This window comes from Homo sapiens, chromosome 7 (assembly GCF_000001405.40).
Source record: "Homo sapiens chromosome 7, GRCh38.p14 Primary Assembly".
In the NCBI taxonomy this organism is placed as follows: domain Eukaryota; kingdom Metazoa; phylum Chordata; class Mammalia; order Primates; family Hominidae; genus Homo; species Homo sapiens.
In genome coordinates this window covers 70,128,232-70,145,689 of record NC_000007.14, presented here as the reverse complement: position 1 = coordinate 70,145,689, position 17,458 = coordinate 70,128,232, and the positions used below count along the sequence as shown (strand labels likewise).

At 38.0% G+C, this 17,458-nt stretch overlaps 1 protein-coding gene across 26 annotated transcripts in view, besides 2 other annotated features; it reads right to left on the bottom strand.

Moving 5' to 3' along the window:
* The window catches only part of AUTS2 (activator of transcription and developmental regulator AUTS2), a 1,195,032-nt gene that overhangs the window by 647,817 nt on the left and 529,757 nt on the right, over nt 1-17,458 (bottom strand). For all 26 annotated transcript variants that reach the window (XM_011516010.3, XM_011516013.3, XM_011516014.3 and 23 more), the window contains one exon: nt 11,119-11,154. In XM_011516010.3, the coding sequence (XP_011514312.1) occupies nt 11,119-11,154 (36 nt within the window). The remainder of the gene's footprint in view (nt 1-11,118; nt 11,155-17,458) is intronic.
* Nucleotides 6,361-6,562: a silencer, noted in NCBI's record as "fragment chr7:69604114-69604315 (GRCh37/hg19 assembly coordinates)". NCBI's record gives its function as "represses an EF-1alpha promoter that drives an FKBP-Casp9 reporter gene in an ReSE screen in phorbol 12-myristate 13-acetate-treated (for megakaryocytic differentiation) K562 erythroleukemia cells {active_cell/tissue: K562(+PMA)}" and the evidence as "EXISTENCE:reporter gene assay evidence [ECO:0000049][PMID:32094911]".
* Nucleotides 12,413-13,697: an enhancer, noted in NCBI's record as "VISTA enhancer hs1425". NCBI's record gives its function as "enhancer in: midbrain (mesencephalon)[4/6]" and the evidence as "EXISTENCE:transgenic organism evidence [ECO:0001131][PMID:17130149]".

Sequence of the window (17,458 nt, the reverse complement as noted above, 5' to 3'; positions counted from 1 at the left end):
CCCTTCTGTATTCAAAATTTATATGTATGTCACAACTCAAGAATTTCTCAGGACACTACTGTGTATAACATAGACCTACTACAAATAATAGAAAGTTTTTTCATTTATCTATTTAAAGTACTCAAGCATATCTGTTAAAACATAAATACTGTATCAAACTGTATTTCTTTTATAGCATATCCTTTCCTCTATTTTTACATAATACTGCTTGTTCACATACATTAGAATAACTCAGAGAGGCTTACCATGAATGCATCCACATCACAACTAAGTCTATCACAGGTATATTTTAATGGTCAATTATTTTGCCATTGTGTAACAGAACAATGGTTTCCACACTTCTCCATGTCCAGCTAATTTTTTTAAAGCAGTTGTACACGATGGCTACAAAGAAAAAAGGTACAGTATGTTAAGTATGCCCACAGGTTGTCTCAAAACTCTTTCCAGATGTATCTATAAATAACCAAAACAGAGGAACAATGTCTGATTTCTGTTAAAGCTCCAGATAAGAATCACCAATGGAAAGAAATACATAGGACTTGTAATACTCAGCCAGCGTAAATCAAATCGTGGGGCATTACAAGAAGAGCAATGAGTAAAATCTAGTAGCACTGAAATTTAACTGCCACAAAGACAGTTGTAGCACTTGATGATCTTCACCAGTGTGGAACTAAAAGCAACAACAATATATGACATGACAGAATCTACATAAGTTAAAGTAATAAGCCAAGTATACTAAGTATACCATGACAAACTTCAACAGAGATTTTTCAATAAAGGCTCGTTCTTAAGACAGAATCCATTAGACTTTTTGATAAAAAAGATGTAACAGTATCACATATGAAAACAGTCACTGACATCAAGAAAACACTGTGGCATGGCAGAAAAATTAATGTGACTTTCAACTATAACAACTGAAGGACAGGATCCAGGATGAGCAAGGTCACAGTCCAAATTGTCAGCCTACTCTAATAATACATAACTTTTTGAGTCATGTCTCAGATTGGTGATTGGGTAAGGTGATTTCTGAAGTCCCTTCTGACCTAGAGGTTCTGTAACTCTGGACCTATGTAAAACCAAAATAATAGGTCTACTGTAATTATCAAATTAGTAAAGTGGGCAATTTAGAAACAATTAGGCGAAAACAACTTGTGACTCTATTATGCCTCTGTACAAATGCAGTTTAAGGCTTCCATTTGGTCATGATGCTTAGCTGTTTAATATCTGATTAAAAGAACATTTTGGGTTCACTAGCTTCCTTTGCTTCCCAGAATGTCCTAGTACTAATGTTCCTCCCAGAAAAACCAGGTTTTCATATCACAGAGCTAGTTCTATTGCAAAGTTATTTTAAAAATTAATTTTAAAAAATTCTAAGAGAACTAAATTTGTTGTCTCTTTTTGATTTTGGGTTGAGATATTAACTTCGCCTGAATTTCTCTGCCCCAGAACCCTAAGTTCTCTTGGCAAAGTTGAGTCTATTTTCCACAAAGGTAGGAAAAAGTAAGTTATTGATAAGATCTGCTCACAAATGGTAAGAGGCAAATGTTCTCTTTGGGGACTAAAAATGGAAAGGGAGAACTCTGAGGAGCAGTAAGAGAAATATGGCACAGCACGGGCTTGGATGAGCTCTTGGTGGGTCTCTGTAATGCTAACCTACATGATTCACACTTTCTCTAATTTCCTTCTAAGACAGTCCAGCTGTACAGATAAGTAGTCATTTGTTGGTCTGGGCAAGATTTTATGAGATGTGATGAACATATGAAATATTAGGAGTATTCTAGGAACCACAGCTGTTATGCCTTGCTGCATTTTTAACAGCTCCTTAAAATCAGAGGCCACTACGCACAGCAGCACATTTAGACAGGAAACACTGCAATTATCTGGCTTCACCACTCCATTCCAAATCTGTGATTATATTACAGTTTACAAGCCCTAATAGACAGTCATCACCTTTGGCAATGTTTCTACTTGAAAACAGCCACAATCCCTACATCTGGATTTATTACCAGGGAGTCGCCAATGGAGACCGAAATGTTTTTTGTTTGTTTTTATTCATCCTGCAAACTAGACACCAAAGATTTCAGAGCAGAGATTAAATACAGTATAAGGAAGGTCCCTTTGACATGGCTGTTAGCGAAGCTAATTACTGAAGAAAAATTGGAGATCATTCATTAGCCTACTAAGCAAATTAAGGTTTGTTAACAGTGATTTATAATGCCAATCCTTGTGTTACTGCGCTGGTCCTTTCAAGTGTATGTGTACAGGATCTGACAGTTTATCAACTGTGCTATATCTAAACAGCTTGTCACCAGGGTGCTTTTGTTAAAATGACATTGTATTTTAAATGGATAAACATTTTTACCTGAGCAAAACACATTTTAAATGTTTGGCTTCTGAAGTCAAGTACTGGGAGATAAGTGAAGTGTCTCAAACTATCTAAGCCTCCAATAACTCTTGTTTACTGCTAGAGCTGACTATAGGAAAATGTGACACTTGGAGTTAAAATACCACTTTTCCTCTTTAACAAGCCCCAGTTGTGTTTTTTAACCTCTTTTTCAAATGATACTCTTGGTGTTTCACCAAGCTATAAGTTTCTTATGCAATGGATTGGGAGGCATCTAATTTACAATTTCAGCAAAAATATTTTTTAAGTAGTTAAGCAAAGGAGTGAGTTCTCTGATCTGAAAGATTCTGAGTGATAGTCAATAAAACTCCAGGCTAGTTAAATCTATCAAAATAAGGGTTGTGTGGGTAATCAGAGTAAACCTCCGGAATTGACATTGCCTGTGGGTCATTTTACATAGCTTGTATCAACAAATGCAACAAATTTCTGTAATGTGGAAATCTCCAACAAGGATAAGACAACCTTCCTTAAAGCCAATGTCAGAAAAAAAGATGAAAATGAAGATAAAATTATTTTCAGAATTCCATGGCAATGACCTGTCCATTCCCTCTGGGACTGTCAATGCACTGTGCTAAAGCCTTTACCGCTTCATCTCTATGATCAATCTACTAGCTATGGAACAGGCTAAGCCAACAGCTTCAGTATCTCTATGTACTAGCCCTAAATGAATGATGCAAATATAAAACATTATTCATTATGAATAATTGCATTATTGTTCATAATGAATTTTAAAATACATTACTTTCAAACAAAAGCAGACTCGGCCACTCCGTTGAAATCAGGACTCCTTTCAATGTTGACAGTGAAGAACAGTGTTCACTAAGCAGCACTATGGCCTTGCATTCCTGTGGCTCAAAGGACAGCAAAGAAAGGCAGTGAGGCCAGCAACAAGCAATGGTTGCACATGGCAGACATCTAGTTGTAAGGCAGCTGGAATCATAAATTTTGAAATATTAGAAATTAAGGTCCTTTAGCCACTCTCTTGCCTAGTGGCTCATTAAATCTTTGTTCTCCAAAATCATTTTTTCCCTCTAAATCTGAGGGGCCAGAGATGGGGGTTAGGAGGACAGAGAGATAACGGCTGAGGGCTATTTCCCCACATCCATCAGTAGCACCTAAGTTTTCCGCTTATCTCCTTAAAGAGTTTGCAACAGCAATGTCAAAGATTCCTGTAGACAGCAAATGTTTAAAAATACCCAGCCTATTCCCTCATTTAAATGTTGAGAAAATGAAAGGGTTAAAATTATTGGTTGCAACTGGAAACACCAATTGATCTTTTCTCACCTGATTATTTTTTGTCAAATTTCTCAGTTCCCTTGTACTGAATGAGGAAGCTGAAGTTAAACATAGTGTGTAGGCAGAAGATAATTTCTACAGAGTGTGCTGGAAAAGTCATCCTGTTGTAGAGATTCTACAAATGTTTAAATGTCTCTCACCACAGTTTAACTTGTACTGTTCATTTAGTCAAGGTGTGTCTGCTCCTGGCTCACTGATCCTATTCCCTCAATTAAAATGTTAACAGATCAAAAACATGACCAAAAAAGGGTAAGAATTAGACATGGGAAATACAATTATATTTTCTGTCTAAGGCCCTTGAAATTAGAGAGTTTATCTGCGCCACGTGGAGGAGTCTGTCAGAATGCACCTTAGATTCTGGTTTTGTTACTAGGAGGAAAAAACACAGTTAAGGGTAGTATTTTGAAGGTTACATTTAAAAAATGTGACAATGTTTCACCATAAGGGAGAGCAACAACTTTCGTTTGCCCAGATGTTTCTGCACAGTACACAGGTAGCTTCAAAGGCATTGGTAATGTCCTAGATTTTAAGTTACACTTAAATACACACTTAAATTTCTAACTACGTATTCTAACTTCCAAACTCACCATTTTCCTACATTCAAATCTCCTCTTCTGGGGACTAACTCCAAGTAAGAGTATTGTAGTCATTGATCCTTTACTTGACGTCCTTCTCTACAAACCATCTCTTCCCCACTCACCCGACTACCTCCCTGGCTTTATCCCACATTCCCTGTAATCAACCAACATTCCCTGACAATCTAAGTCCCGTCTTTCTCCAGAGACATCATACAGTCAATTCAATCCACACTATTATGCAATTTCTCTGTATTCTTGTCTTTGTTGCTCCCCCTGCCTCAAACTTGTTCCACCCTTTCTTTCCTGTTGACTATCTAAACATCCATCAAGCTCTGCACAATTTAAGCCTGCTACATTTAACTGACCCTCCTTTATACTTCCAAGTGCTCTACTTACACTTCTCATAGACCAATCAGTTTGCTTTGCTTCAAATTCAGCTACATATCTTTGACTTGAGAGCCATGCTTACACGTTATGCAACTTAAGAACTAAGAGTAGATATTTAAGTCATACTTGTGAGTTAAAATGAATTGAAATCTCCATCTGGAGAGTAGTTTTCCAACTCAACTCCTTATCAATTAGTCCAAATGCCCTAATAATAACTGGATATCCTTCATGGATTTCTAGATAAAATTTAGATTTTCAAAAATATTTCCATTATAATAGATTTTTGTCAATATATAATGGCCAAAAATTAATTTACCTAGTGTTAATTACTAATAAATACAAAGATTAGGGTCTTTATTTGGGGGGAAGTGTTAAAATACTTAATGTTATTTATCTTAAATATAAGTACTTAACAGGTGATGAATGAACACTTGAATTACAAAATCCTTTCCTAGCATCACAGCAAGTACTGCCAAGTGGGGAAGAAGACAGTTTCTTCTGCTTTGGATGGAGCTGCCGTCAGCACCAAGTTGATGTATCTGTACTTCTGAAACTAAAACCCCTAAGAAATCTTATAAATAGTGATAGGTTCTCTGGAGAGCTCAAACCCTCTTATTCAAATACAGTGTGTTAACTGTACCTCAGGATAACCAAATACCTGTAGTTAATGTAGATGTTTCTCTTTACAGAATGATGGAACTGCAATATCACCATTTTGCAGCTCCTAACGAACACTGGGTCTAATCAATGGCTGTTAACATTAATAAAAATAAAGAACTAAATATGTGGCTCCTAATTGAAGCACACAACATGATCTATGAGGCATCCTTGCCAAAATCCAAACCTGAATCTGATCCTATCTAGCCACTGCTAGATCAGCTTATACAAGGTATTATATATAAGACAACCAGAAAATTTTGAAAGAGAAATATTATAGAGATATGCAAATTCAAAGAATGAAAGGGCATCTGAGACTGGGATTATTAAATTAAAAAATGAATTTTCAACCTCATTTATAAATTTTTTTTGAGATCTCGCTCTTGTCACCCAGGCTGGAGTGCAATGGCGCCATCCTGTCTCACTGCAACCTCTGCCTCCCAGGTTCAAGTGATTCTCCTGCCTCAGCCTCCCGAGCAGCTGGGATTACAGGTGCATGCCACCACGCCCAGTTAATTTTGGCATTTTTGGTAGAGAGACGGGGTTTCACCATGTTGGCCAGGCTGGTCTCGAACTCCTGACCTCAAGTGATCCACCCGCCTCAGTCTCCCAAAATGCTGGATTATAGGCATGAGCCACCGTGCCCAGCCCTCATTTATAAATTATAGAAATCTTTGTTGAAATTTGTGTAGTAACTTTTCATCTTCCTTGATGGCATCAGTTTTCTTGCAAACCAAACAAAATTATTAATTTGAATGTTCTAATAAAAGAATTCACCCCCAGAAAATAAATGAATACAATGTGTCAGAAATATTTAAAAGTGGCTGGGCATGGTGGCATTTATAAAAATTACTATATTTTATAAATGGAAATACCACTACTGAAAATAGAATGCTATGAGTAGAATGACGTCTTTTGTTTCCAAAGTCAATATACTAGAGCAATGGGAAAATAATAAAAGCAAGATATTTTCTGGCAGTTACATCAAGATAAATGTTGCAGCCGCAAGCACCACTGGTGAGTATTATCTGGGGAAATGGGAAAATGGTTAAAAAGCAACTATGGTTAGACAGAATACCAAATCAGTTTTAGAAGTTATACAGCCAGGCATGGTGGCTCACGCCTGTAATCTTAGCACTTTGGGAGGCCAAGGTGGGTAGATAGCTTGAGCCCAGGAGTTCAAGACCAGCCTTGGCAACACGGTAGAGCCCCATCTCTACAAAAAATACAAAAATTAGGCAGGTGTGGTGGCATGCACATTTACTCCCAGATACTGGGAAGGCTGAGGTGGGAGGATCACCCGAGCCCAGAAAGGCTGAGGCTGCAGTGAGCTGTGACTACACCACTGCACTATGGCCTGGGTGACACAGTGAGACCCTGTCAAAAAGAAAAAAGAAGAAGTTATACAAAATTATAGCAAAGGAAAACAGGAGATATTTCAAGGGTTTATAGTCAAAAACTTAGAAAGGGGCAAAGAATATTCCCACTATGACCTTTATAACCCTGGATGGAAAGCTACAGGTCAATATTTTGCACCTACTGCCTGTTACCAGCACTACCTACACAACTTAAGTAATTCAACTGCACAGGAAAACAATAATTATACAAATCCCGTCTGAAGATGTATACCACTACACAATTCCCCTTTACTATATAATGCGGCAGTTTTAATCACTGAGTAGAAGTGAGTTGTTTTCCCTGATAACTTTAAAGTATGTCAATTACTAGATGTGACCCAATTGAGGAAGATGAAAATTATTAGTTGAGAATCCTTAAGAGAAATTATGGAGTTTACAAAAGCAGGATACAAGCTATTTGAGGCTGTGGTTCTAAGACAGTTAGATTCAAACCTGGAAGAGGGCTGAAAATTATCCAGAGAAGGCAGAACATGTCACTTGGAAAAAAGTAAGGCTGTACTTCCCTTACAGCAGGAATCAAGTTCTGCCTGGCTGGTTAGTTGCCCCAAAAGTAGCTCCCAACTCCACATGGAGTCAAGTGCTATAAAGAATGAGTCCAGATCTTTCCTGTGATGACATACCAGACCACTGGCCAACACGAAATGTTCTCACTGGTCTTTTCATTCTACTGATTTCAGTTACTGTGTTCATATATGCTAGGGCATCAATTTTTCTTTTTCTTGTCAGAAAGGAGCAAATGTGATACAAGTTCATAAAAGTGGAATATATTGAACAGGTGTACCTTCCCTCTCAGCCCAATCCTAAAAGCTGCTAAGCAGTCTTTAAAAGCTCCAAGTACTTCAAATGCTTCTGAGGAAGAAAATACACAAGTAACTTTAACTGACAAATTACAGAGAACAACCATAATATGTGGACAGCTAATAGAACAGTTCATTCCAACATCGTCATGTTCATATAGAATCACAGAGGATGAATACCCTGTTTTATGTTCACATACAGAAAAAATGTAAATAACTGATCAAATACAAAAGCTGTGCTCCTGAGAAAGCTACAAGAAGAATATAATAAGAATAAAATACTACTATCCTACAGGTACAAATTATAAAACCTACTTTGCACAACATTGCACAGCCACCTGATGAGACCAACTTTGCTCCATCACACACGATTGTGTGAATAACAGAAGGCAGTACTTATTATTTGGTAGTATAGAGTGATATTCTGTGTTCATTAAAATATCTTATCTCATTTAATATTTGCAACACTAATAGGTAGGTATTGATAAGGAAATAGACTCAGAGACATAAAATAACCGGACCAAGGTCATACAGGTAGTCTTAAAAGATCATTCTGCCTCTAAGTTCTTAATTATACACTATGCAAATTGAAACCTCAAATACATGTTTAAGGAGAAAATACAGCCTAAAACGTTTAAATTGAAAAGAAAATGTGTTCATTGCATTGACGTTCAAAACAAAAAAAAAAAAGAAAATCCTACACACACTCTAACAAGTTTTAGTCCTCTTGCCAAAAAAGAAAAAAAAAAAGCAAATCGATTCCAACTAGTCTATACTTTCATTTATATTTAGAATATGAGCTGGGCATGAGTATGTAATGAATATATATGTGTGTCTCTCTGTGTGTATAACACCCACATTATTCAAAAGCTCCCAAAAATGTAGAAAGTTTGTTCCAATCCTTCTCTATTTTGTCTACTTTAAGAATTCTTTGCAATATGCTTATGTAAATACTGATTTGAGCTGCTGTTCTCATTTCTCAAATCTTCTGCTTCTAAACGGATTGGAAAAGTGACAGACCTAAGCAGACATCTTTGGAACACAAAACCAAGGAGATATAAACAAATACAACCAGATCAAAAACAAAGGCTTCTCCTTTAAACCCTTGAATGTATCACTACAGATAAAAGAACTGAAAGTAAAATATACTGGTTTTGGCTAAGGGTGTGTATGCGTGTGTGTGCATGCACACACACCTGCACATGTATATACTCAGGTGTCTATTTTATTAACAAACACAATGAACAGCATCTTACCTCTGTTGACAAAAGCTCTAAATAGAAACAAAGGAAGTCTGTGAAGTTGGGGCTTGGGACAGTGTTCAAGAAAACGGTTCTAGATTGTTAAAAGTGCCTTCAGCTTTCTTACACCAGAATTCATGTTATGGTTCAATTGCGCTAATAGCTCATGGACTCTGCAGGTGATTTCCCTCCATCCACATTTCAAAGACATGCTGAAGAGGAGTAAGGATAGACTTGAAAAATTACCATTTCACTTACCTGAAGCTGAGCCTTCTTTACAGGCTTAAGTAAAAAGCTATTATGACAGCACAAATCACAAAGCACAGTGTAAATAATATGTTGGCAAAGAACTAATGTAAGTTGTGCCCATATCATTTCCACTTAGAAGTATGAAACTCACCAGTGTGGAAGTTAGTATCTGAAATTATTACATGTGATACTATTGGAAAGAAAGTTGAAATAGAAGATACTTTTCATGAGGACTGGGCAACAATATCAATGGATTTTGCACTCTGATAACATAACAATCACATTATTGGAAACACATCCTAGCAGGGCATTTTTGTCACAGTTGAAAGCTGAATACACATCTGGTATGTATCTTCTCCATGTAAGCTAATAATACGACAGACTTTTATGTAAGCAAAGTAAGTCTACCAGCAATTTTACCAAAATAAGAGAAAACTTTTATACTCATCCAATGTTCTGTAAAAGCCATTTTATTAATAGACATGTAATTAAAGACTCTTTAAATCATAAGAATATATTATTAGAGAATAAAAATAACCATTCTTGGAACTAGAGAGAAAAATAACTGCAAAAAGCATAATGAAAATCTCAATGTTTCTAGAAATGACTTTCTTCTTTCAGGGTGATCCTACTGACAATAAAAAAAAAATACTAGAATGTTCAGTACAGAAGTGATCAAGGACTAAGGTAGTGGCTTTGGCCTTCTTTCTGCTGAAGAAAGCAAAGGGGGAGGCTTTAGCTTTTGGATGGAGAATAGATATCGCAGTCTCCAGATTTTACTTCCAGCATCTCAACCTACATCCAGCCTGGTGTGAAGAGATGCCAGATGGGGCTACGTCTGTTATTTCGACTGCTGAAGCAGGATACTGAATGTATCCTGCTTGTTTCTGTTAGCATGAATATTCAGCCACAATAAGTAGGAGCAAGGGTAAGTGTGCTAACTGTATTAAGCAGGTCCAAATCATCCTTATACTTTTTCTCCTATTACAGATTAAGACCAAAAAAAAGTCAACATCTAGAAAATGCCACTTTTGCTAAGCTTGGAAAATACTCATTTATTAATGAAATGATGCTGGTTTCCATAAATTTAATGTAAATGTATCGAGAGAAATACGTGGGCAGAAGAAAACCAGAGTAATTAGCATTGGAGAGAAAAGTTAAAAGCAACTAAAGTGAATTAGTAATTATTTTCCACTTTATTTGATTTTCATGATTTCACTATTTTCTCAGAAAATACTGAGGCATGACTGTATCAGTGTTCATCACTCAGAACACCAATCAGATTCCTTTAAGCATCACAACAGACTTTTACATTGACATGTTATCCTATTGTACAAATAATGCTTATTTGTCACTCTTTTTCATTTGTATCTTGAAAAGGGTCACTAAATCCAGAAAGGAGAATTTCACTATAAATAAATATAATGAAGTGACAACTGCTGTTTGAGAATGAATTTTATATTCATGATTATCACAATATTGTGATAATCCCTGAAGGGTCACCTCACTGCCATCTTTCCCAAAGGACAGAGAATAAGGTTCAGAAATAAACTTTGCATTTTAGCAAAAATAAGTATATTAATTATTGCTGAAAGAAAAACCTAAAGGCAAACTACCCAGACTGTGAGGGAAAACATTCATTAAAAAATACCATCTCCATTCCCCGTCCTCCCCACCAAAAAAGGCAACTCATTGTATATGAAGAGATGTTATTCAAGAAATCAGTTATCTCAATGCATAATCTGAATTCCATCCCCCACATGACACTTCTTACTAAAAAAGTAATTGTGGAGAAATGGTGGCATGAGCTAATCAGGGTTCCCTGTATCTCCTTACATGGCCAGGTAAGGAGCTTAATGTCCTGGGCGTTAGGAACCAGGTATATACCTCGGACTTACTTAAGATCCCTAGGGCCCAGCAGGCTATGTCTTCTAAAAATAAAACAATTCCTAATAAAGAATGGAAATCAGTCTGCTCTTTAGGACTGAGAGAGAAATTCTCAGATTTTTTTTCATATCCCAATGAGCATTCATTATAGAAGGAAATCAATGCCAATGCAAGGCACATATGTGGAAGTTGAGATAGACTTACGAAGTAGCCTGTTCCCAAGCTGGAAGGAGCTGAACTCTGCAATAAAGCATAAAGACAAAAGTGGAAAATCAGCAATGGTTTTTAACACGTTCCAATCCACACAGCTCATTACCAGCCCTTTGCAGGCTTTTCATCACCACATCACATCACCAGTGTATGCTGCCCCTTGTCATCTGCTACTGATACAAACACCGTGTTGCTTAATTTTCCCCTTTACATCTCTCAACAACTCAGAGATGCTAACGTGCTATTTACTGAATTCCAAGCTTCTGCGGTGGATGTAATTGCCAATTTATTTGACAGGCAGCTGGGTAATGAATTAATGATGGCATTTCGCCCTGCACTGAGACTAAACAGACACGCATCAGCTTGCCTCCCTGACTTGCTGACATTCAATGCCCTGGTCTCAAGCTACTCAGTTTTGTGGCCGCAAAGGGGCAGGCAAGAGGAAAAAGCCCAGATTGACTTGAAAATAAAAAGCCCAGTGGGTTTGGATGACTTTTCCAGTGTATGACCTACTTGCCAGTTTATTCCCTAAAGGCATCAGTTAGTACACACACAGGGCTTTTCAAAAATGAGACATTTTGTAAACGTAATTAGTAGACTAAAATGCAGAGAATGTGTGGGCCAAGAGGAGCAGTGAAAAGCACCATTTTTCTGAAGGGTTTAAGTCACAAGAATTACCAGTTTAGGCTGTCATAGTTCTGACACACAGGGAATTTAAAAATGTTAATTCTGAAAGGAATGCAGGGCATCACTTGTTTGGGAAAAGAAGCCCCCCCAAAAAATGTATTTTAAACTTGCCTGAGATTCTGATTTTTGTTTCTTTTTTTCTCCTAAAACCTCTCTTTATAAATTATTTAATTTTTAGCATCCTCTTCCTCTTTGTGATTAAGCTTGAAATGAAGGTGAAGCAAATGCTGAATAGGTCTGCAGGTCTCAGCTAAGCATCCCTGCACCAGCCAGGCTTCTTCCCTGATGAGCTTGGGTTGGGTATTATACTTTCCCAGAAGCAAAATGACCTCTGCCCTGATGCAACAGTTACTCTGTTCACTGCTAGCTCTTCTGCCTACATGTCCTGCCCCCTACTCTGGAAACTTCAGACAGCAGTAACCAGCTGGCTTTTTCATCATTGCTTCTTAGAGCTTCACACAATGACTTGCACACAGGATGCATTTAATAAGGACTTATTGAATGAATGTATAAATAAATGAATGGATGGATTATGTGTAAGAAAAATGGCTCAGGAGAATTTGACATCTATAAAAATACAGCAGATGGTGACTCTTCTTGATGCTAAGCTCTTTGAGGAGGAAACATGGTACTGTAACTATATCTACATCAAACAAGAACAGTATGCTTCAAGGCATTCCTAAATGCAGCTCCCAAAGCAAAACTTTCCTCATCTCAGCGTTTCACACAAGCTCAGGGGAATGAAGCACCATAGATGTGTGATCCTGCTCACTGCACTCAGTTTTTTAAAATCCTGCTGCATTCTTAATCCCATAAATGGTATGGAGGGAGATCCACAGTAGTCATGGAGACAACTTCTCATACCAGTGACTAGCCATATGACAGCATCACCTGTTTCCAGCACCCACAGCCCTCCATGCAGCAGCAGAAGAAAGCAAAAGCCAAGTTAGGTCTCCACCAGCTTGGAGTCATGCCCCTGGGAAGTGAACTCATTTTAGGATGAATTACTCAGAGAGACCATGGGATTTGTTTATTTCATTTCTTTCCCTTCCTGCAAATGTATTTTATCCCAGAAAGAGAAGTACTCCCACCAAACCCACTTCCCTACCCCCACATACATATCATCTTATCGTATACCAAAGAAAATTACATCCTTCAGGTCTCGGAAAGCTCTGTTATGCTCGTTTTGCATATATATTGTACATTACTCAGGGAGCTGGGTGGAGAAGAGGGCTTTGTTGTGCATATTTGTTCTGGCTATTGTTTATGCAGGTCTGACTGAATGAGGGAACAGTGGGTATCATTTCAATTTCTGATGTCAACATCAAATTACTTATTTAATTTCATGCCTGGCGAAGCATTGTATAGCTACACGCAGAATCATTTCACTTCATTTGTTATGCTGTGTTTTCATGGCGATTGGCTTGCCTTCCAACTGACAGCTTTAATTACGACATGAATTTGATTGCACTGCCGAGGAATTAACATAATGTAACAAAGCATTTAAGCACCCTGCCTTATAACTCCCCTCCCCTAGACACGGGCACACACAAACACAGACACACGAGGGAACACAGACACAAGATCCCCATATACATTAAAGGTCCACTGGAATTTGTTTCAGCATTTGCTAGAAAGCATACAGAGTCTCGTATCAGGAGCCATTCACATGTGCCAACCTACTGTACTCTTTTTTTTTTTTTTTTTTTTTTTTAAGGGAAAAGATGCATGGTATTCAGTTTTGATTTCAGGATCAGCAGAAAACACATGTGTAGAAAAACCCTCTTGTGATCGACTTTGCCAAATGTCCATGGCATTGACATTTCCTCCCCTCTTAAACCCTTTTCACCACATTTTTCTTGGCTACTTGCCAACTCCCTTCAGTCATAGCTGGAGAATTTTAACAGGAGTGACATCTATTAAATAAAGAGACTTCTGCTTGTCTAGTCCTACAACCCCAAGATTCTGACTACGGCCTTGTATTCAGTGAGATATTACGCCTGGTCACCAACAGGACCCCACCATTAAAGTATTGGTAACAGAAGTTACCAGCCACAGGGAAGTCAGACTTTAGCTGAGGCTCACAACACGTATCATATATCCCTGAGGTCTCGCATCCAAAAGGCCCAGTAAAGAGTCTCTGTCATATATTTATAATCTAAAGTCTATATCTAAATACAGCTGCAAATATTTGGTAGCTTCAATAATTTTCCAAGACAGAAATTATATGAACACAGGCAACAACAGATCATGCTAAAAACAAAAAAAAGGAATGTTTAGAAACAGCAGTAATATTGTTTCAAATGTGCTGTAAGTTATTGACAGATGTATATTTAGGGATTGGTACTGCTTTCTCATTTTAGAAGACACAGTCACCAAAGAAGAGACAGTCACCAAAAGGTAAAGAACCATGAAAGTAGACAGGTGATAATACCCTAACTATTGAACAATTTCACAAGACTCTTCCTTAATGATCAAGATCATGACTCACTGCAACCTCAAGCTCCTGGGCTCAAGTGATCCTCCTGCCTCAGCCTCCTGAGTAGCTGGACTACAGGCATGCGATACTGTGCCCAGCTATTTTTTTTTTCCTAGAGATAGCATCTCACTATGTTGCCCAGGCTGGTCTCAAACTCCTGGCTTCAAGTGATCCTCTTGTGTCGGCTTCCCAAGTGTTGGGATTACAGGCATGAGGCGCCGTGCCAAGCCTCCCCTATCAATTTCCAATAAGAAGGGAGGACTTCCATTTTTTTGCTTGGAGACTTCAAGCAAAGTCTGTCCAAACTATATAGCAAAAGAGGCCACAGAATACTGAAAAGGCTGTGAGTCAAACTGAGACTTGAAAGTTAAGATGTTTTTTTAAGGAAAGAAACAGAAGTTTCCTTGGTTTCAAAAGCATTTGAAATAATATCCATCCATGTTTAGGCAAATACTTTTGCTGAAAAGGGCTTCATTCTTATTTCTTCAAGTGGTAGAGTTGCCATTTCATTCATATTTTCAATGCAGTAGGTAGAAATGAGAACTATTAAGAGGCTGAGAAAATAGAGTAGGAGAACATTTTAGCAGTTTGCATGAGAACACAGGGATATGAGGAAATGCTAGCCAGCTGGCTATCTGATATGCAATTTCTGGGCTCATTATAAGCCATCTCCTGGTTAACATGGTCTTTTCATTCTGCTGGATTTTTTTTTTTCATATTTGACCACTGCTCCAGCAATCTCTGCAAACTACCCACCTCCATCTCATTATATTGTAAAGGAGAGCTTTCTTAGAAACACTCTCTTTGTCTCAATCTTCATGCTACCACGGGCTGCAGGAACATAATGGGATGCACAGTTGAAAGACATTTTCCAGGAGGGAGAATGTTGCTGCTGACATTCAAGTCTGCAAGTAGATATTCATTAAACACTTGTTCTCCTTTTCTCATTTCCCCCCACTTGCCTTTCCTTCCATCTCTTCACTAAGCTATCATCGAAGCTACTCATTAAACTCATGAAGTTAACATTTCTGTTTTAACAGCATACTTACAATAAGGGATTTCAAAATTGATTATCCATCTAAAATAGATGTGCTCCATTCATTATAAATCCACACAGAGAGGCCATGGCTACTGTTACAGCTCCCTGAGTACAGACAGGACACATGTGTACTCCACCCCTAGGTGAGAATGTGTGTTCTGACCCTAGGGCTAATTTAAATTGAATATTTTTAAATTCTTCCAAATCGCTAATTGTGTTCAACATTCCTGGCTACCCACCTTCATGTTATGCTTTTCTCTCTTGGGAGTAAAAAGGAGAAGGACCATGCCAGGAATCACATGAACAAGTAAATTTCTTGCAAAGGTCACAAAACAAGCTCATTCACAGATCTTCCAGTAGTGTTTTAAAAACCTGAAATCTTAATCCAAAGAAACGTACCTTGGAGATAAGATTACTAATAGCCGACCAAACACACACACACACACACACACACACACAATATATATATATATATTTGATTGAGAAATAAGCATATAGTTGTTGGAAGAAATCAAGTAAAAATGGAGCAACAACTTGATAAAAGCATCAGGTGGGAAAAATGCTACGTCACTTCCAACACCAATTATTCAACCTTCTGTTATGCCCACGTCAGGTTGTCACCAACTCTCATCTCAGCCTTCTGGCTTCTACCTCTGATTTCATTCTTGCTCTTGTCTTCATGGACAGTTCCTCATATCAAAGGCAAAATAAACATTTTAAAGTAAGAACTACAACTCCAATCCTTTTAACATAGTCCAGTGGCTTTTAAGATAATAACCTGTCATGGATTGAGCAATGTCCCCCTGTTTATGTCTACCAGGAACCCCAGAGTGTGATTGTGGTGGTCAATTTTATGTTGCAACTTCACTGGGCCACGGGGTGCCCAGATATTTGGTCAAACATGATTCTGGGTGTTTCTGTGATGATGTTTTTAGATGAGTTGAACATTTATATTGATATGCTGAGTAAACTGGATTGTCCTCCCTAAAATGGGTGAGACTTATCCAATCAGTTGAAGGTCTGAAAAGAACAAAAGGCTGACTCTCTCCCAGAGAAGAGAGAATTCCTTTTGCCTGGCTTTGACCTGGGACATCAGTTCTTTATTGTGCTTTCAGACACAATAAAAACATCAGCTCTTCAAGAGTTTCAAACCTGCCAGCCTTGAGACTAGAGTTATACTATAGGTTCTCTTGGGTCTCTAGCTTGCTGATTGTAGATCTTGGGACTTGTCAGCCTCCAAAACTGAGCCAATTTCTCATAATAAATCATGTTCTGCTGGTTCTGTTATCTTCTGCTGTGGTTCTGTTTCTGTGGAGAAGTCTAATACAATGACATAATTTGGATATACGGTCTTTTTAGATGTACCTAATTAAGGTCATACAGATTTAGGATGGGCTGTAAATCCAATGGCTGCTGTAGAAACCATGTGAAAACTAAAGAAGAGACTGGAATGATGCATCTATAAGCCAGGAACACCAAGGATCACTGGGAGGCACCAGAGGCCAGGAGAAAAAAAGGATTCTTCCCTAGAGCCTGCAGAGGGTACATAGCCCTGAAGACACACTGATGTTAAATTTCTAGCCTCCAGAACTGTGAGATAATAGATTTCTGTTGTTTCCAGCCATACAGTTTGTGGTCATTCATTAAAGCAGCCCAGGAAATTAATACAACACCCAGCCTCCTTAGCATGGGCTAGAAGTTACGTGTTCAGCCACTGTGCTACTTCACTCTACTGTAGCCACACAAGCCATTTTTCTTTCCCTCGAACACAACATGCTTCTGATAGGGCCTCTAAGCTTGTTGTTCCTGTTGCCCAGAATGTTCTTCCCATAGACCTTCACCTGTCTACCTTCTTTTCTTTACTTAGGCCTCAGTTTTAATGTCACCTACACAGAAAGGCCTTATCTAATCACACTAGTTAAAGTAGCAACAAACTCCCGCCCTTCATATTGTTTATGTCAGAAAACATTCTATTAGAAAAAATTGTAGCTATTTCTTAATAGATTTGTCTCTCCCACTAGAATGGAAACTTCATGAGGGCAGAGGTTTCATCTTGTTCTCCACTCAACCTCAAATGCCCAGACTATACCTGATGAATAAAAGAAATTTGATTGACATTTCTTGGCAAC